Genomic DNA, 22524 nt, shown 5'->3' with positions numbered 1-22524 from the left:
AGTGCTCGGTCAGCTCAAAGGAGGGAAAAGAATTAGAGTTGCCTCAAATAAATTGGCAGAATTTAGTGACAAAGGCTGAAAGAGAGGAAGCAGAAAATGGCTCCTTGTTTTTTCCTTTGGGTAAAAGCAAGAATGGCAGCAACACTGGCAATAATAGGAACAGCTGTCATTTCTCTTTTGGACAGAAAGAGATGCATTGAAGCAAGATGCAGAAAGAACTAGGCAAGTCAAAGGATCCTGATTTTACTACACTTATTTATTGAGCACCTACTATGTTACTGGAGCTGTGCCCTTTAATTCATGTGACCATATTCAATCCTCCTACAACCCTTAAAGTCAATATTGATAGCATTTTCCTGCTGAAGCAACTGAGGCTCAGAGAAGTTACTTAGCTTGCTAAAGAAAGAATTAGGCCTCAAACCCACAACTTCTGACTCCCAACCCCAATATAGCCTCCTCTCTGACAGACATAGCAATAGAATTTTGTCAATTGCTGCTGATTAATCATGGTATGGCTGCCTATATGAATAGGCATTCAGAGGCATGTCTGCGCTCATCAGCAAAGACCATAATTATTAATTAGACATACCTGTCACGGGGCAAGAGGGAGGCACAGTGGCACATCTACTGCATGTTTTGGGTACTCATTCTGTACTATGAGCATTCAGAGTCAGAGATGGTAGACTAACTCTGTCATTCATTCAAAGGACCAGACAAAAGTGTTTTGAATTAAAATTATTATAATTCTAACAAGCAGTAAAATTTTTCCCTTTCATGTACAAAGATCATTAAATCTATAACCGATTTCTTCTTAGAAACCAATGAAAATGTACTCAAAAATGTGGCATTGAACACGTTATTAATGTCAGCTAATATTGACATTACTAATATTCAAAAATTATTGTCATCGAGCATCCACAAGGCTCTACTTGTCTTTTTGTAAAAATAAAATCAAAATTATTCTCAGCTTATTTCAAAACTGTCGTGATAAAGTGTTATTACATTGGTGCAGAAGTGATTGCGGTTTCCCATTGAAAGTAATGGCAAAACGCCAATCACTTTTGCACCAATGTAGTATCACTTTATGGGAACATAGATTGCCGATTGTGAGACCCATAGAGATCTGAGTCAGCAAGAAGGAAGGGGAAGGTTAAAGTCATTTTCCTTTTCTGCCCTTCCTTGCCCTAACACAATTGTACCTCAGTTCCCTGCCTGACAATCCCTACTGAAAGTTCAGGACCAAACAAACATGATACCTCCTTTCTGTATCTTTCCTTGATTTTTCCAGATAGAATTAGTTTTTCCCTCCTCTGGGTCTCACAACACAGAATATATTGTTCTGCATAATACACTATGCATATTAAACATGTTAGTTATTTATTGACATGTTTATATCTTTCCTAGGACATCATTTTGTTGAAATCAGGGCTGTTTTTTATTCAGTTTATAGCATTAGCACATAGAATAGTGCCTGACTCCCAGTAGTACTCAATAAATGCTTGTTAAATTTAATTAGCATAAACTCAGTCCCAGATAATGAATGTTTTAGGTTGTATTTTTTGCCGCATCTTTTGTTCCTTTCAAATGTATTTCATCTTCTTAAGCTGTTTGTGTTGATGTACACTGTTAAAATGGTTTGATGAAGTATAAATATCTATGTTTTTAAACGTAGAATAATATTTTCTAGGTTCATCCACATTGTGGAATGTATCAGTATTTCATTCATTTTTATAGCTGAGCAATATTCCATTGTATGGATATATCACATTTTGTTTATTCAATTATCTGTTAATGGACATTTGGGCCATTTCCAGCTTTTCCCTATTGTGAATAGAGTTGCCATGAATATGCACAAATTTTTTTGTTTGAACCCCTGATTCCATTTATATGAAATATCCAGAATAGGCAAATCATAGAGACATAAAGCAGATTAGTGGTTTCCAGGGCCTGGGAGTAGGGGAAAGGAGAAATGGGGAGTGGCTATGTAATAGGTACGGAGTTTCTATTTGGGATGACAAATAAGTTCTGGAATAGACAGTGATGTTACTTGTACAACATTATTAAAGCCACTGATATTACACTTTAAAGTTATTAAAATGGTAAATTTAATGTTATATATATTTTACCACAATAAAAATATTTTAAATGATAGGTAGAAAGATAACATAATTGGGCCAGGAGTAAGATCCTTTTGTACATAAAAAACATTCCATCTGCTGTTCTGCAATTCATCCAAGTTTGCATTCAGCAACTGAGATGCTGTTGCCAATGCTGATCAAACCCTCATCTATTGCTACGAGTGGTGTCAATGCAACCATCTTTTATAGTAATTTTATAATATATGTCAGCACATATAACAATGTTCATGCCATTTAAACTTGGAATACTTCTAGGGATTTATTTTAAGAAAATATTTCACAAGAACAACATAGCTGTGTGCATAAAAACGTTTATTACAAATATGCCTATATTAATTAAATGTTGGGAGGAAATCTTTGCCAACAGTATAGAGAACTGTTATTTAACACATGCAATATTAGCATAATAAAATACATATGGAAACTATTTAAAGATTTAATGTTAGGTGAAAAGAAGGGAATACTAAGTTGTAACTCAGTATGAATATGACTTATTCAAAATGTATGCAAGGGATTGATTAACATTAGAAAATTGTATATTAAAATGAAAAGTGTAATAGGACTTTTTTCTTTTAAAAATTTATTTCCTATTCAGTCATTCAAAAAGTTACTCATTCATTCCAAAAAGGAGTTTTGAGCAGCTAGAGTAGGCCAGGCACCGTGATAGGAGTTGTGGCCACCAAGATGAACAAAACAGGTTTTCTGCTCTTATCAGGTTTCCATTCTAACACAGAAGACAGAAGCAAATAATTACGAAAGTAATTACTCAACTGCAATTGTGACAAGTGGTGGGAAGGAGATGTACAATGAGTCTTAAGAATTATGGACATGTTTTATTTGAAGTCTCTGCTGGGTATTCCATGGAAATGGCTAGTAATGGTTGATTATAAATATCTAGAGGTGAGAAGAGAGGTCAGGATTATCAATATAATTGTGGGAGTTATTAGCCTTTTGATGGTAATTTAAGCCACAGGAATTGCCAAAACTACCTGCAGAGGAAGTACAGACTGAGAAGGTAAGAAGGTTTAGGAATAAGAGTACGAGGAATTTCAATAAACGGAAGCAGTTTAGTGTAGTTGTCAAAAACAAGGATGCCATAATTATATTTCCTAAGGTCAGATCCCCAGCTCTAAGAGTTATATAACTTTCTTGGGTCTCAGTTTCCTTATCTGTAGAGCTGGGATGACTTCTCATGGGCTGTTAGGAGGATTTGCTGAGATAATGTATATGGGGTGGTTTGACAAGTGCCTGATACATATTAAGAGCTACATAAATGCTAGCTATGTGAAGGTCAGATATAAGATGAGAATAACCCAAAGGACCCTAGAAAAAAAAATAGGCAAGGAAGTAGGAGGAAAGTAACAGGAGAGTAAGGCGAAAAGGAAGTGGATAAGAGTGTCAAATGTTGTTGAAAGTTTACATAGAATGAGGATTGAAACATCTACATTTCATTATGTTACAGAGATGCTGGTGGAGCAGAGGATATGAGAGCAAGAGTTGTATAGAATAAGAAAGGAACTCTAGTTTATTGTCTCCTTTTCCTAACAACGTAATAATATTGTCGTGATGTTATGATTTTTTAAAGGAGATAGAGGGGAGAGCAAGGGAAAACCCACAGACAGCCATTGTGGCATCCTACCCCAGTCTTACAGAGGCTCCCACAGCACGGGAGAAATTACTCTTCAGCATGTTCTTTGGGATCATAACCTTTTTTTCTCTGCCACCAGACCCAGATGTAAAGGCTTAAATATTTCCAATATTGTCTTTAAAGGCCAGACCCTTAATTGCTGTCCTGACTCTTCCCTGAATCCCTTACCAATTCCCTTTGTTAGTGTCCAACTGATTGAGTTACAGAGGAGCTGGCCAGATTTATCATCACAATTGCTCTCACTGTAATCACATTTGGACCCAAATCTGACTGGAGTGAAAGTGTGAGTCTTGAGACCCTTTTGCTAATAACGAGGAGTGCTTTGGGCATTTCAAGTTTGAAAAAGAAATGCTAACTGTTGACTACCAAAAAATAAAAGAGGCTCCATAACATGACAGTGGTAAATAGTGACTATGATGATAACAGCAATGGGCAGCCCCCAGGACAATGGCTCTTGGGCCAAAAAGGCTGCTCAAGTGCCCTGGGATGGGCAGCTCAGTAGGGAGAGTCAGGAACTAGGAACAGGCATTTCTGGATCTAGCATTACCATCAACAGCGCAGGTGATGGCAGGGAACAAAACACTTGCAGATCTGATTAATTAAAAGAGTGTAGCAAATATGGAGTCCAAAAAGGCACTGAGAAACAAAGTCTGATTCAAAGTCTTTAAAAAATGCAATGAAATGGAATGGAAAGGAAAAGGAAGGGGAGGGAAAAGAAGAAAAGGAGGAAAAGGAGAGGAGGGGAAGAAAAAAGGAAAGGGAAGAAAGAAGAGAAAGAAAAAAGAAGAGAGATGGGGAAGGAAGAGGCGAAGCTAAAAAGGGCTTAGACTGGCAGCTTGAGCAGCAGAGTATTGTTTGTTTATTACTTAATCCATTTCCTCCTCTGTAAAACAGGGGTGATGTTAATGACTGCTTTAGAGGATTGCTATGGGAGAATTAAATAATGTAGGAAAATTACCTGGCCCATAGCAGTTGGTCATCAGATGTTGGTTTTCTGCCTTCCTCAATGACAAGTATAGCTCCATAAGCTGCCTGGGGATTTTAATGTCGCTATTTTTATTGAGGCAGTCAGGCCTACCTGTTGGGTCTACCCAGAAAGCCAAAATTTTAGTCTTAGAAAAGCTTTAACCCAGATAAGGAATTGGCTCTCCTAGCTTCAAAAAGCCTAATGATCTTCTTGACTCTCTACCCCTGAAGCACTCCAGTCTTTTTAGCTAAGACTCCTCACCCCTACTCTCAGTTCCATTGTACCACAGGCTGGACCAGGGACAATTCTATCACTACTTAAAGCCATCTTAAGGATCTCTGGATAAGTAGCTTAGAAGTTCAATGTTAAGTCCTCCTGCTAATGATCATGCTTTAATCCTGCATCTAGTGCTCTTCAACTGTATCCCGGTTTTGCTCATCTTAGCTTTGGTTTTATAAGGTCTTCAATGAACTAAAAGTTCGATTCATTTTCTCAGCATCCATACTTTCTTCTTAGAGAACCATACAGCCTACAGCCATGGACTCCTGATATTCATACCATGTCGTCTCTCTTCTTGATCATGGCAACTTGGACCAGAGGCAAACACTTGCCCAAGACCAACTATTCGTATTTCCTCTTCTATGCTTTTTGGTATCTGGACACTAAATGGTTATGACACTTTGAAGAAACCCAGGTTGAAACGTCATGGGGAGCAGAGACTGCCAACTAGAATATATACGAACCATTTGCTATAACTGAGTAAATAGGAACAATCAATTTAAGAAAAAGGGATAAAAAAATTCTCAAGAGAAGAAAAGATGAGCTCCCATATGCATCCAGAAACAGAGCAAGGACAGAGAAGAGAAGGCTGATGGTTTTCCAGGTTTCTCGAGGCTTGGCCGTAATTCCAGCATTTTATTTATGGGCAATTTTCCTATAATTATGCAATGCACTTCCTTGTTCTTATGTTGTGTGAATTTATTTCTTTTTTCTGTTTTCCAACAAACATGCCCAAGACACCAGGGCAAGAGTTTTATATTTGAATCAGTGTCTTGAGGTAGAGTGTTTCCTACCAGACTATCTTAATTCACCCCCCACCTACCTATAACAGTTTCTGTCCAAAGACAGCCTCTGCCTTCCTGCTGAGATATTTGCATTTGTCCCCAGACCTTTTTGACACGAACTGCCTAATTTCTAGATTTACTACTATTGTCTTCTGTTTCAGTCATTCCCTTAACAAGGCTATGGATGACATTGGACCACATTTTTTAAATAAAATGGAAACTTCTGAGAGTTTTCAGGATATGGAAAGAAATGATACACACACACACACACACACACACACGTATTGTGGTTTTTCTGTTAAGGGGGAAATTTTGAGAATTGGAAGAGTGGCTTTTGTTCTCGTTCTAGCTCTGCTGCATCCAAAATAATGTGATCTTGGACAATCACAACCTAGCAAAAATTCAGCCCTTAAACTTAAAAATCAGGGATAATATTACCCATCCCATAATGTTACTCTAAGGATTAAATGAAAAAATGAATATGAAAGTATTCTGTAAACTATTCAGTGCTATGCAAAAGTAAAGAACGACCATTTCCTTTACAGGAAGTAAACTTTAAAGGCCTGGACTAAAAGAAGCATCTCAATTTATAATGCTAGTGAACTTAGAAGCTTACATTTGAGAATCCTTTTGTAGATACCTTAAGGGCAGCACATTTACTTTGCAAATAGCAGAGACAACCATCCTTCCCCTCCCACAAAATCATATTCTATGAACATACCAGCCACTCTTTTGCTGTTTAGACAGAGATGAAGAGGAAGGGGAGAAACTGGGCTTTTGTGCTGCTATACCATGTTCCTACACTATACAAATTACATAAAATATGTATAAAGCTTCATTAGATAGGGATTTCTATGACCTGTTCATTTATTCACACACTCATTCAATGAAGATATTTATAGGGGCTTAATGTGAGCTCAGTACCATCATAGGCATAACAAGGGTAAAGAAGGAAATCCTCCAGTTCTAGCCCTCAGTGAGCTTTTGCTCAAAGTCAGAAAACAGACAAATTTGCTTTAATTCAGTACTCTTTCATGTACTCATCACTCATTCATTCAGTCATTCAATCAACTGGTGTCCATTAAGATTCCAATGTGTGCTAAGCTAGGAGCAAACTGATTCAGCTAAAGTGATGTTTTGAAGAACATCCCAGTCCCTATCCTTAAGCAGCCAATAATTCTGCCAGGGACACAGGTGAAGAAATAATTTTTTTCCTTTTCTCTCCGCTTCTTCCTTTCTTCTCTCCTTTCTTCTCTCTCTTCTTCCCCCACCCCCACCTCCTTCTTTATCTTTCTTCCTTTATCTTTTGGCTTCAGTCACTATTTATAGAGCTTCTACTATTCAACAAGCACTGGGCTCCCTGTTTGTAATCAGCAAGACAGACAAAGGCAAGTATATAGGCTGTGGTAGCTAGCCTCCAAAATGGCCTCCTGGTAGTCACACCCTTGTGTAATCCCTCCCGGACTGAATAGGAATTATCTGTGTAGCCAATAACATATTGTGGAAACAATGGTTTGCATCACTTCTCTCTTGCTACCTTGAATCACTCACTCCAGGGGAAGCCAGCTGCTGCTTCATGAGGACACTCAAGTAGCCCTAAGGATGGAGGCATGTAGCAAGAAATTTAGGCCTTCATCCAACAACCAGCAATAATTGGCTGGGTATGTGAGTGAGATCCACTGGAAGCAGATCTTTCAGACCCAGTGAAACCTTTAGAAGAATATAGCCCCAGCTGATATCTTGACTTCAATCTCATGGAAGACTCTGAGCCAGATATACAGAGAAAATGCAGGCATTACATACATAATTGCAACTACAAATAAGTAGACACATTATGAAAAATGTAATTGTGAAGATAGCAAGGTAGTGCACACACTCAAGTGGGTTACCCAACCTGGCGTAGCCAAATTGGAGACTGTTTCCTGGAATTAAAGAGTTAGTCAAGTAGTGTGACTAGTATATGTCAAGGCAAAGAGTTGTGAGAAAACTTGGAGGAATCCAGTTTATAAAAGTGATCAACATTGTTGAAAGAAAAGAAAATGTAACTGTTCTCCAGTCGTTAACCAATAAAATCCACACATTATGAACTGGAGTTAAGATATTCAAAACAAACCTTAAGAGAAAGAATGGCTCCTGTATCTGTAACCAGATTAAGAGTATGAACATAGATCAAGAAATAATCATAGGATATTCCCACAGATGAGTAAGGCAGTAGTAGTAATAGATCAGTGCCCATCCAAGCCTTGTCTCTCAGAGTGGTAAGGGGAGGAGGCTGTTAGGCAAACGAAAGTACCCTGTCCACCTCAAAGGTATATTCTAGTAGTGCAGATGGATGAAGTAAGCTATCAGAGCTTGAAGCATAAAGCATATGAGAATTATATACTTATTTATCCTCCTCTAATACTGCACTTACAAAAGGACGATGTGTTTCTATGGTCGATCTAGTTCAACGGAGAGTTGTAGATCTCATTGTAACTTAGTAAATTGGCATTCTGGCTTCATAAATCAGGTCATTGTGAATGTGGGCAGGAATAGCATTGAGATCAGATTTCTGGACCTGCAAGGATGTAGACCAGACTATGCCCTCCTTAGGCACCTGATTGGGTAGAGAGCTGGTCTTTCTTTAAATACATTCTCACTTCATCAGCATACCCTACTTGCTTTTCCAAGCATGTTGGCAAAGAGCATACACTCTGGAGCCAAGACTACTTGGATTTAAATCTAAGTTGTGTGAAATTGGGCAAGTTACTTAATCTTCTTTGCCTCAGTTTGTAAGCCACTTTGTGCCTTGTGTGTAAAATGGTAATTACAGTAGTAGAAACCACATAGGGTTGTTCCAAAGATTGAATAGGTTCATAACATACATAAATACCTAATACACTACCTGGCTCCTTCATTATTATTATTTTTCTATCCATACTGCCTACAGTGGAAATTCTGGTAACTGCAAGTAATTCAATTCACTTATAAAGTAACAAATAGGGAAAGTAGGAGACAAAAGATGAGATGCCACATGATGGAGGACCCAAAACTCAGACTTAGATTCTAAGAGAAATTAGGACCATTGAAAGATGATAAACTAGAGATTAATAATAACTGTGCACCCTAGAAAGGTCAATGTTGTAGCAGGTGGAGGATGATTTAGGAGGGGTGAAAAATTAGAGACAAACCAATTAGGTGATTGTAGCAAAGTTCTAAGAAATGGCAATGGGAATTGAAAAAAAAAAGGGTATGGATTAGAAAACCATCTATAAAGTAGTGTAAGTAGGACATAGTGATCAATTAGAAATGGGGCTTAGGATAGCACTGTGGCCAAGCGGAGACCATATGCCAGTTACTTGTTCACTTTGTGCCTCAGTTTACTCATCTCTAAAATAAGTACACACCTCACAGGATTGTGTATTAAAGTTTAATCAAAATGTAGAATGTGAATATAAGGATACAGACCCCATAAGGTTTTTATGATAAAGTGTTTAGGTTTTTAGATAAAGTGTGTGGCACCATAGTATGTGCTATGGGAACAAGTTGTACCTAGGATGCATCTTAGGTTACTGGCTTGAGTGAGTGGGTGGGTGGTAATGTGAATAACTGAAATAGGGGAGAAAAGAAGAGCAGCTGGTGTTTCAAGATGAGTTTGAAGTGCTTGGGCTGCCCAAGTACATAGTTTCAGCATATATATATGTGTGTGTGTGTGTGTGTGTGTGTGTGTGGTGTGTGTGTGTGTGTGTGTGTGTGTGTCTGTGTGAGGATGTCTTTGTGTGTTTGTGTATGCATACAGGCCCACATATGCATAATCACTCATGTAACACACTGACAAATTTTTTGCATATATCATCTTATTTACAGACAAGGTGGCTATTACTGAAATCGCAATTACTCTCTTCATTTTACAGATGAATAAATTAAGACTTTGACAAAGCAAAATAGCATCAACCTCATACGGTCGTTACGATGATTGAATAAGAGAGTATACATAAAATACTTGCACAATGGCCTGGCACACCATAAGAACTCAAGAAATATTCATGATTAACACTGTTAGTGTGGTTGTGCTGTTGCTATTGTGATTTCTCAGGGTTAGACAGCTATCGAATCACAGAGCTAGGATTCAAACCCAGGACAGACCAACTGCAAAGCAAACGCCCCTAATCACTATTAGTGTTTAAGGCTGTGACCCCTACCATGTAGATGTCTCAGAATTAGGTAGTATAAAGAATACAGGCTGGGCTTGTGGCGGCTCATGCCTGTAATCCCAGCACTTTGGGAGGCAGAGGTGGGTGGATCACGAGGTCAGGAGATCAAGACCATCTCTGGCTAACATGGTGAAACCCCATCTCTACTAAAAATACACACACACACACACACACACACAAATTAGCCAGGCATGGTGGTACTTGCCTGTAGTCCCAACTACTTGGGAGGCTGAGGCAGAAGAATCGCCTGAATCCGGGAGGTGGAGGTTGCAGTGAGCCGAGATCATGCCACTGCACTCCAGCCTGGGCAACAGAGCGAGACTTTGTCTCAAAAAAAAAAAAAAAATACACAGAGACTCTGCCCTCAAAGACCTTACAGTCTTACAGTTGCAGCTGGATGATCTGGTTGAAAAGAAAGAATATAGTGTGGGATGAAGATTGCCTAGACTAGAACAATGAACTAGGTTTTAAAATTCAACTGGTTAAGGAGAGCTGGGAGAGTACCCCAGGCAGGACAATGCAAGTGAGCAGAGTCTTGGAGGTGTGGACAAATGGAAGGAAAGATACAGATAATATGGAAAAGCCATGCTAGAAAGTGTCAGTTTCCCAAATGTAGTTTTGCATACAGGCTGGGTGCGAATCTAACCATTCCAACTCTGAAATGCCTACAATTAAGCCCTAGCATTGCCTCTAGGTTTGATTTGGAATGAAACCTTAGTTGTCAAAAGGAAAGCAGCCAGAGCTGTGTTTGCTTGGTGCTGCCTGCAGGAATTACACTCGTAAGAAATCGTGGGAGGTGCACATGGGACTCCCCACCCACTGGGGTTGATAATCCATGCTAATTGTACACATTTCCAAAGCCTCCCGTGTGAGAAGGAAAAAATAAAAATGTTCTCTTAACATTTTTGAAGTTCATAAATGTGGCAAATGTTCAATAACTATATTTAACTCCTGTTGCATATTCCTTAGCTCTTAAAATACGTTAAACCAACAGTTTTATGCACTTGACAGTAAAGGCATACTTTCCTGCTCTTTTCTCCCACCTATCTAGGTGAACATGCATGTCCATCACAGCTTTGAAGAGCTAGCTCAAGATTTGTTTTTTCCAAAGTTGTCCCTGGCTTCCCTGTCCCTTCCTTTGCTTAGCATTATACATTTGTGTTTGGTGTTGGATTCAAATGAGGTCCTGGACAGCTAGAAGGGAGACAGAAGAACTGGAAGAAAGGGTGCAAAGTGTTTAGCATCCACAAGGCAGAAACTCAAAGGTGAACACAGCAGAACTTGCTGCCCCTTTATTTGCTCTCCATGTACCTATACATCCATTGCTCTAGGTTCTTGCTCCTCAAAGTACTGTCTTTGGACCAGCATCCCTCATCAATACCTGGGTGCTTGACAGAAATGCAGATTCTCAGCTTTCCCCTGCCATACCTACTGAATCAAAATCTTCTTCTCTGTTTTTTTCTTTTAATAGTTTTAACCTTTATTTTAGATTCCAGAGGTGTTGCGGGGGATACATGTGCAGGTGTGTTACCTGGGTATATTGCAGAATGCTGAGGTTTAGATTATGATTGATCCCGTCACTCAGAGACCAAGCATAGTAACCAAGGGTTAATTTTTCAACTCTTGCCACCATTTCTGCCTCCTCCCTTCTAGAAGCCCCCAGTGTCCATTGTTCTCATTTCATATCATGAGTAATCAAAGTTTAGCTCCCACCTATGAGTAAGAATATGCAGTATTTGGTTTTCCATTCCTGTGTTAATTCACTTAAGATAATGGCCTCCTGCTGCATCCATGTTACTGCAAAGGACACAATTTTGTTCTTTTTTATGGCTGCATAGTATTCCATGTTGTATATGTACCATATTTTCTTTATCCAGTCCACCATTGATGGGCACTTAGGTTGATTCCGTGTGTTTGCTATTGTGAATAGTGCTGCAATGAACATATGAGTGCATGTGTCTTTTTGGTAGAATGATTTTTGGAATATATACTCAATAATGGGATTTCTGGGTCAAAATAGTAGTTCTGTTTTAAGTCTTTGAGAAAGCTCCAAACTGCTTTCCACAGTGGCTGAACTAATTTACATTCCCACCAACAGTGGCCTTTCCATTTCTTAGCAGCCTCAGCATCTGTTGTTTCTCAACTTTTTAGTAATAGCCATTCTGACTGGTGTGAGATAGTATCTCATTGTAGTTTTGATTTGCATTTCCCTGATGATTAGTGATGTTGAGCATTTTTTCACATATTTGTTAGCTGCTTCTATGTCTTCTTTTGAGAAGGGCCTGTTCACGTCTTTTGCCTACTCTTTAATGATTCTCTTTCTTTCTCTCTAGCTTTTTTTTTTTTGCTTAATTAAGTTCCTTATAAAATCTTCATTTTAAAAAGATCCCCAGGTCATCCTAATGTACATTAAAATTTTAGAACCACTATGCTAATATAGACTTATCACCCCCACACTACAATTGTTTGTTTCCTTGTTTGCTTCTCCTTGCTCTGTGAGTTCCTTCAAGGAGGAACTGTGTCCTATGTGCCCCGGTAGCCCAGCGCCTAGCCCAGTGCTCAGTACATAGAAATCAAATAGCTGTCACTTACGTCCTTATTATTTGCCAAGTGCCATATATACATTGTTATCATTTAACCTTTGCAACAATCCTTTGAGAAGGTCACTGTTATATCCATTCTGCAGATAACGGGGCTCAGAGACTTTAAGTAACTCACCTAAAGTCACACAAATAGCAACAGAACTGTCATTCAAATCCAGCTATATCAGATGCCACAAGATGTGCTCTTGACCGCTATTTTATATTATACTACTTTCATAGTAGACGTTTAATAGATATTTATGGAATTAAGCAGACTTTGCGCAGCAATGATTGAGCCTTTCCTTTGCTTCTTTCTGTCATGAAGTAAAAGGACAAGGGCTACAGTTTTAATCTGCCATGCAATTTCCAAAGTGCAGAGGCATAATGTCTGCGTTCACGGAAATGGCCTGTAACTATACTAGGAATTCCGCATCCCCCACCCCTCTTCTCTTGGAAGATCTGCAAGTGTTAGTAAGCCCTGCAGACAAGCAATCCTGTCAGGCAGAAGGCAGCCCAGAGCCCTTAAATAAAACATTCTCGCAGCCTTCCGCGGAGAGCATGGAGACAAATACCGCGGATGTGAAAGGTGTCGCTGGGATTACCAATGACGTGCTAATGGCTGCTCAGGCAATCTCTGAGCCTCCTGCGCTCTGAGTCACCCGCTCCCTTTGGAGCCTGCGCTCACGTCATTAAGGGACCGAAAGCTATTCACAGATCACTGACTAATGGCAAGCTTGAGCCTGGCCTGCACTCCCCCCACCAGCCTTCTCCAAAGGACTAAGGTCATGGACAGGAGGCCCTGGAGCTTTTTATCACGGCCACAATGAAGGGTGAAGGAAAAGATAAAGTCTTCTGCCTTCCTTCTATCTATTCTGCTAGCTGTACTTTTGCAAATGAGGAACTTTCCTCGTGTTCCAGAATGTGTTGGAAACTCTTTGCCGGGAACAAGCAGAATCTTGAGTAGGGCGGTTTACTTTTGACAGTTTATTATTCTAAAAAATCTTTCTGATGTTATTTTAATTCCACAGGCATTTCATTACTAATCAACCCTGGGGCTTTCAGTTTCTAGAGTACATAAACATATTTCCTTTTTTTGGATTATTTGTGTGACTGCTTGCTTGAATTTATTGTAATTTTATTTGTTTGTTTGCAACTGCCATAATGGGAGCTTCTAAAAGACTAGGAAGTAATAAATGTAATATTTTCTTTCAGATACTGCATTTTTTCCCTAGCCTGCCTAAATCCTTTGAAATATAACATCACTTGGCTTTCCTGCCAGGCACTTCTCCCTGAAATAAAGTCACAGGTCTGCTTTGGTCACTCTGTCAATATCTGTGACAGATATTTCCAAGTTAACTTTTAGGGAGTCACAACTTGGCAAGTCTAAAAAGCACTATATTTAGCTGCAATTTTGGAATGATGTGGGAAAGAAAATTGAATCTGAAAAAGCAAAGCAAGATGTGGTTGAGCATTTTGTGGAACAGGTAACAACCACAGAATTATTTTTTCCTGAATAAACCATGATCTGTTTGGTGGCCACTTCTATACTTTTCCAAAAACAATCTATTTACTTACACAAGTTCGAATTCTTCAAGATTAACCCCAGGCTTTATCCTGGAAGATAATTTTATTTATTGGTAGAAGATAAAGCTATTCATATATAAGGCAAACTGATTGGAGATACATTTGAGCTCACTTTGCTTTCTATGCTAATGTCAGAACATGAAGTTTAAGCATTTGGTTACTGAAGAAAATATCGCACACTGGAATCATTAAGATCAGTCATCAAAATGATAAAGATACAATTTTTTTCCAGAATTCTGGAGCTCTGATACACAGCTTGAGAGTACATTTCTCAGCATGAATTGCATTATTCAGTCAAAGAATGACCATGGAGCAAAAAATGCAAAATGTTTCCTATTTCTGTTAAAAGTCAGGTTTAATATAGACACATTTCCCTTAGATGTGGTCCACAGAATATCTTCTTTGGGAGATATCATTTGGAGAAAGCAAGACTTATCTTTTTGAACAAATAAAATTTTGATTGATAAAGGAGCTTTTACAATGGCATACTAGGATCAACATTGGTTGTGATCGTGAAAATAATCAGACTTTTAAGGAATTGGGCAAATCTGGTGTGTTGGAGAGCCATAAGACATTTCTTATTGCTTATATGCATCTCATACTTTGGTTCTTGAGTTTGCTTAAAAAACGCAAACACGTATACATCTAAATTGTAAATGTTAATTGCTTCAGAGTTATATATGACTGTTACAGAAGGTCACCACAATTTATGTTCCATTCTGTTTTCCCAGGGATTGATAAATCCTGGGAATAAAGCCTTGTTAATAGGCAGATTTGGACTATTCAGGAGTCACCTTGAGGATGATATCCAAGTGGTTGAAGGGAAGATGAGAAAGCAATTTTGCACAACTCATTGATTGACAATGAACTAATTTCAAGAGACTCCTTGAAATTCCACTAGGACTGTGGGAAAATGGAATATCAACAAAGTTATCTTAACATGTGACACCAAGGCAGTGCTAGTAGGACCTCAAGGTGCTCATGCTCTGTGAAGATCGGAGAGAGAAATCACAAGAGAATCCTTACAATATGCAGACACTGTTCTAAACTCAACCACATCACGTTATCCAGTCCTTACAATAACTTTGTGAGGCAGGAATTATTATTCCCATGTCACTCATTAGGTCAGAAATTTTAAGTAATTTGCAAGTCATAGATAGTGAGCATTTCAAACCTACTTTGAGAAATGTGTGCATGTATGTGTTTGTGTGTGTGTATATGGATATGGATAATGGGAGGTTGTTTATAGAACTTTTTAGAAGGACCTTATCCTGAAACCCAGCCTTTTGCAAGTGCTTCTCTTGAAAAGAAACCAGATTTATTACAGTAGTTGCCTACAACATTTTTTTAACGGATTTAAATATATTAGCTCAGGAGAGGAAATTTCTTGCTGCTTTATTGAAAAAAAACTGAAACTTACCTTCAATCTATTTTACTGTTTACCATACTTTCTACATATTTTGTGTCTATTCTTTTAAATATGGAAGAGGAAGTATCTGGGTAAAGGAACACACTTGCAGCTAGCCAGAGGCCTAAATAAGTAAATATTAGATGGGGAAAAAAAATGAGGCCTTGTGATAAGACAGACCTGGGTTCTATGTAAACTCTGCCACTTATATCTGAGTGATCCTGGTGGAGGTTATTAACCTCTGTGAGTAACAGCCTCCACATCTGTAAAACACACAAAGACATAATACATATTCATGTATTAGTTATGAGGATTAATTGAGAAAAAGGTATATTTTTAAGACCTGGTATCATGCTGTTGCTTGACAAATGTCAATTCTCTTTCCTCCTGCATGAGGTTTTCTTTTTTTTTTTAACTTTGTTTTTACCCAGTGACTGACAGAAGTCACAGGATCAGACCTAAGAGATAGCTTTCAAAGAAACCCTGACAGATTCATGTCCAACTATGCCCAAGTTGAGTTTTAAGACAAAATTCACCTGTAACAGAGCAGAGTCCTGGAAATACAGAGATTCATAATATATGTTTTAAATCCTAAAGACCTTATGACAGTATCTTGAGCTTTATATACTCAAGTTCTTTTAGCTGTCTTGATAACATTTTGAATAATAAATAATTGGAAATAGTTTTGTCAAAGACTCAACTCCACCACACGGACTGGGAAGATTGACCATCTTTTTTATGTTATTGTTGTTACTATTATTAATATAGCAAAAGTTAACTTAGCAATATGAGAGAAAAATACATCTTAAAATAATTTATCCTCACAACCAAAAATTGATGAGAACCCATACATGGCCTAAAGAGAAGGTCTTACATTTCCAATGATAGAGATACTGTCATAGATCTTTCAGTCATCAGTTCGTCATTGTTTAATTCCACAATGAACATTGATATTTTGGGCCAAAGCAAGAGTATTTATTTACCTCTTCAATATACTAGGAACTTCATCATTACTAGCTTTAAGTGTGGTCACGCTCATTGGTCAAACAAAGAGGCTATGAAGATAAAGTAAGAATCACTCTATTTCCTAAGCAATGTCATGAGTTGCTAAAATGGAATTGTTCATCCATTCTTCCATTCAATCATTTAAGAAATCATAAGCACTTAATATTTTCCAGGCATTGTGCTATGGACTCTAAGAAAATCAGATCCCCAACCTCAGTGAGCTAACATTCTAGAGCAATTCTCTAAATCAGAATTTCTCAAAAACTGTACTATTGACATTTGAGGCTGGATGACTGTACTGTAGGATGTGTCCTGTACAGTGCAGGGTGTTCAGAAGCGTCCCTGGCCTCTACCCACTAGTGCTAGTGGCACCTCCCTTCCCAGTTTTGACAACCAAAAATGTCTCCAGATATTGACAATATCCCTTAGGAGAGGTTTGGGAACAAAATTGCCCCTGGTTGAGAACCAATGGTCCAGGCCTACATATCAATAAGTGACTGCAGTCAGTGGAAGCTCCCTGTACAATTCTTGATCTAGGCCACCAAAATTCAAAAATGAATCCTAGGCTATTTTTGGCTTCTAGAAAAGTTGATGACATAACACCTTAATAGAATTCAGATGAAGTCTCTCTCTCTCTCTCTCTCTCTCTCTCTCTCTCTCACACACACACACACACACACACACACACAAATTTGAGCTTTTCCTAAGCAATCTATCATTTTCAGAAAAAAAATAGTATTCGAGTCAATTGCCTAGGAGGCTTTGATATCTACCAGATCCAATAATGAATAAGGTTTAGGCGGCATTGTTGCCTACAGCATGGCTTTTGTAGGAGGCATCACAGAAGAGCAGGTGTACTGTGATCACTGGAGAAATTGCTTTACTCACCCATACAATTCTATAATAATCTATACTTATCATCCCTTACTGGGGTCAGGAGGTTTTACATAACTTAAAATATGTTATTAGTCACCTGAAACTAAAACAAACTAAAACAAAACAAAAACTAAAAGGCCTTGAGAAAATTCCTCCACAACTTAGAATCATTTAGATTTGAGATATACCATGTATATTAACTGATATTGGTATCTGGAGTGCTGGGTTAGGAAAAATTCTAAGATCACACCTGTTGGTGGGAAAGAATATCAGCTTTGATGAATGACATCTATTCTATCCACTGAATGAAGAAATAGAAGTGCACGTACCTGGTATTTGCCATCCTTGATCCAGATACTATGTTCAGTGATGATGCCTATATTAGTCCGTTGTCATGCTGCTGATGAAGAAATATCCAAGACTGAGTGAGCAATTTATAAAGAAAAAGAGGTTTAATGAACTCACAGTTCCATGTGGCTGGGGAGGCCTCACAATCATGGAGGAAGGCAAAAGGTACCAACTTACATGGCAGCAGACAAGAGAGAATGAGAGAGCCAAGTGAAAAGGGAAGCCCCTTATAAAATTGTCAGATCTCTTGAGACTTATTCACTATCAAGAGAACAGTATGGGGGAAACCGCCCCCACGATTCAATTGTCTCCCACCGGCTCCCTCCCACAACATGTGGGAATTATGGGAGCTACAATTCAGAGATTTGGGTGGGAACACAGCCAAACCATATCAGTGCCCATTATTTATATGGACTGGATAACCCCATGAATGAAGTCTACAAATGGACTTGCTGTATTCAGTTCCATCCAGCTCTTCAATATTATAAATGTGATCGTCCTTGTTTCTACTCAACAATTTGCCTGACTATGTTTTTTCTAATATGTTATATGAGGAACAAGTAAAAACTACAGTTCAGATGTATATACAAAACGATTTTGAACCCTGATTAATTTTATATCTCAAGAACATGGTTAGGAGTGACATAAGGCTTGTCTCAGGATATACTGATAGTTCTTTCATTTTTGGTTTTATAGACAGGTATAATCTGGGGTCATGGATATATTCCATCAATATGAATTCTAGGTTATTCTAGGTTAACAATATTTTATTAAAGTCTGTATATCTCTTCTTCCATTTAAATATTTACCTTTTCATTTATTCATTTAGCAAATGCTTATCTAAGGCCATCAATATACAGGTAAGATGCCAGATAATAATTGAGTCAGACATAAACCCTTCCCTTAAGGATCTTAAAATCTAGCAGAACATATAACAAATCTACATAGCAAATACATTATAAAGTTAAAAAGGGTAAAATTACAAATGCCATTGCAGAAAATTAAAAAAAAGAAAAAGAATTGCAGGAAGACCCAAGAGATAGAGATTTCTTTCCAAATGGGAGGTCAATAAGGAGATTGCCTTGAATGGGCCTTGAAGTATTGGTGGAATAACAGCCATACTAGGCAACAAAGAAGGCATTAGTAAAAGCACAGAATGGGAAAATTTGGGATGTAGATAGAAAACAGCAAGCAGTTCTGTGTGAAAGGAATGCAGTTAAAAAAAAAAAAGTAGCCAGTAATAAATTTGGAAAGACAGAGTCTAAAATCAGAGTAGGTAGACATGATCTTTTAACAGATGAAATTCCAATTATATTTAATAAAAGAAATATTTGGGTCATAACCTCCTTTTTTATTTATGCTTCATGAATATGATTCAGTTGTTGGAGGAATGGGCTGCTTGTTCACTTATCAAAGGAAACAGGCAGCATCCCTTATGCTAATGATAGTTTTATTTTTTATTAACTGGGAGTGGCCTTTAAAAAAGAAGAGATTCATTGGCTAGTTACCAGAAACTTCCTTTTAAAAAATACTAGAAATCATTTTATTTGGTATCCATTATTTCATATTTAAATGCAGACTTAAATGTTGAGTTAAAGAGTTGTACACACAGGAAGGTTTTTCAGCTATAGGGGGGACATTTGTGGTCTGCTCTTGCAAAATGTTGGAGCCACTAAGACAAAAGTGTACTCAAACTGGTCTTCTTCAGAGAATAAACATGTGATTTTATGACTCAAGTAGCTAAAAGATAATAGTGGTAATAGCCACTATGATTGAGAGCCTACTATGTGGAGATGTTCTGTAAAGTCTTATTTGATTATTCATTCTGCAAATGTTAATGAAACATCCACGATGTAGAAGATGTGGTGCTGAGCACTGGAGATAGAGTCAGCAAAGGCAAACAGGTTTCTACTTCCATGGAACACAGAGTCCCCTAGAGGAATTAATCATATGACCACTGTAATAATGTACACAGTTGTCCCCTCTTATCCAAGGAAGATAAGTTCCAAAAACCCCAGTGGAGACCTGAAATAATAGATAGTAGCAAACCATGTACATATACTATTTTTTTCCTATTTCCTATTTTTTTCATAGATATATACATATCTATGTTAAAGTTTAATTTATAAATTAGGCACAGTAAGAGATGAATAACAGTAACTAAATGAAGTTATTGTTGCTAAAGCATTATTAAGTAAAATGAGAGTAAATTGAACACAAGCTCTGCAATATAACAACCAGTTGATCTGATAACCCAGACACCTATGAAGAGACTCAAGTGCAGGGGGCATATATAGCATGGATATGCTGGACAAAAAGGGGGTTCGCATCCTGAGCAGGCTGAAGTGGGGTGGTGTGAGATTTCATCATGCTATGCCGAACAGTGGGCAAATGGGAAGCTTATGAATTGTTTATTTCTGGAATTTTTTTCATTTAATATTTTCAAACTGTGGTTGGCCGTGGATAACTGAGACTGCAGAAAGTGAAACCGCAGATAAGTGGGGAATGCTGTAATTACAAATTGATAACAGAGCTCTAAAGGAGTAACAAGGTACTGAGAAAACACATTAAAATAAACTGACGCAGGCTGTGAGATAAAGGCTGAATCATGCAGGTCCCTAAATGAAAATGGGGTGGGCGGAGGCAAAAGCATTCGATCAAAGGGAACACAAAAGCTCTGAAGCAGTAGGGAACATGGTGTGTTTGAAGAATTCAAAGAAAGCCAGTGAGTTGGAAAGCAGAAAGAGAGGGGTGGGGAAAGAATCCATGATGAGACAAGAGAGTTAGGTAAGGTGGGACAAGGTATAGATTTGTGTATATATCTGTGATCAAAGAGAAAACAGTGAAAGGTTTAAAGCTGTGAGTTTAGAGGGGAACTTGATCATATTTTCATTGTGAGAATATTGTTTCAACTGCAATATGGAAATGAAGAGAAAGAAGGACAAAGTACAGGAATGAATCCTCCTTTGAAGGTTATTACAGTAATCTAAGCAAGAGTTGAGAATCTGTACTAACGAGGGTAAAGGAGACCCAAGGAGAAAAGATGGAAAGACGTAGGTGGCTCTGATAGATATGTAGGTGGCAGCATTGGCAGAATCTAGGCATGGGAAAGACAGAGAAGGTGAGAGAAGTGTTAAGGATGTGGCATAGGTTCTAGAATACAAAATTGGATAAATGGAAGTTCCAGTCATTGCCTAAGACAGAGGAAAGAGTGGAATGGTCCTAATTTCACAGGAAAAGAGCAATTATCTCATCAAAGTCCCCTCTGATATAACCCAGTTGTTAAGTCCATTTTACAGGTGAAGAAACTGAGAATTGTATGAGGGAAATCCCCTTAGTTTGTCTTTTTTATAAATGACAGAGCCAGAATTGGAGCACAGGTCTATATGATTGTAAAGCCTGTACCCTTGAGGTTTTCTTTTCTTTTCCTTTTCTTTATTTTCTTTTTCTTCTTAGATTAAAATAGCGAGTTCTGGTTTAAGGTGCAGAACTCTGGGAACTCAACCAATTACTTGTCTAAATTCTTGAGCAGACAAAAACTCCCTTTAGAAGAAAACGTGTGTATGTATGTGTGGGCAGTTGGGGGGTAGTGTCTTTCCCATCCTTGGATTTACTTCTATGTGAAAGAAGAATAACTTGCCACTGTTTTTTACTCATATATAATGTTGCAATAACTGCCATTATGCATAGCTCTTTATTCATATTTAGGATTTTATATAGGTGCCATATCACAGTCAATTTCTGATTGAATATTCTGGTTTGTTCTCAAAAGACCTGTAATCTTTATCATATCATTGCTGCTTTTCAAGGCGAAGGTTGTCTTTTTATATTAAACATGCAGCCAGTGGGATAAACCAACATTTAGTAGTAAAACTGTAATGCCAACTACCTACTAGCATTATTATAAGAATTAAATGACTTAAAAAGTGAAGCAGTACTTGGCACATAGTAAGTACTCAATAAACACTGGAAATTATTAATAGTTATTTATAGGATCTGTGTCTTGCTCACTTCTAGCTTGTGTCTTTATTGGAATTAGCTCCCCTCCCAGAAATGCTTCATTTTTCTCCTCTATCAATCCAAGCTCATGTCTTCATTCAAAGCTTAGTGTAAGACTCACTACTTCAGAATGAAAGCCCTGCCAGAAAAATTTCACTGGAGGGGGATGGAATTTATTAATCCCTTTGATAAATACATTTCTATCCTTGTTCTAGGTACTGAGTGCTTCAGTCAACGAAACAAAGTTCTTGATGTCACAGATTTTACTTACATTTTAGTGAGGAAGGACAGTCACTAGACCAATAAACATATAAATACATAACATGTCATTTGCCATGCAGGGTAAATGCTATTTAAAAATTAAACAAAGTAAGATCTCACTATTATTTGACATTTAAGTAGACAACCAAATGAAGCAACAGGGTAAGAAAAGAAGAGAAAAGGATGATGGAGAGCACTTTGTCTGTTCAAGGAAGAGCCAGGTAGTTGATGTGATTAAAGTAATATGAAAAAGTAGAAAAGATTGGAAATGAGGTCAAGGATTCAAGCAGAGCCAGATGCTATGCCAAGGGAAGGACATTAAAAGTTATTCTGGGTAAGATGGGAAGCTGCTGGCATATATAAAGAAAGGAGTGATATGATGTGACTTGGGTTTCACATTTAAAATGAAATCACTCTGGCTGGTGTGTGGATAATAGACAGTAGCAGGGTA

At 38.0% G+C, this 22524-nt stretch overlaps 1 long non-coding RNA gene across 1 annotated transcript in view; it reads right to left on the bottom strand.

Moving 5' to 3' along the window:
- Nucleotides 1–22524, bottom strand: part of LINC02758 (long intergenic non-protein coding RNA 2758) — a 140695-nt gene that overhangs the window by 99549 nt on the left and 18622 nt on the right. The window contains exon 4 of the long non-coding RNA XR_002957243.2: nucleotides 15765–17865. This is a non-coding gene — a long non-coding RNA (long intergenic non-protein coding RNA 2758). The remainder of the gene's footprint in view (nucleotides 1–15764; nucleotides 17866–22524) is intronic.

The sequence above is a fragment of the Homo sapiens genome, chromosome 11, assembly GCF_000001405.40.
Source record: "Homo sapiens chromosome 11, GRCh38.p14 Primary Assembly".
Lineage (NCBI taxonomy): Eukaryota > Metazoa > Chordata > Mammalia > Primates > Hominidae > Homo > Homo sapiens.
This window is presented reverse-complemented; position numbering and strand designations above follow the sequence as displayed.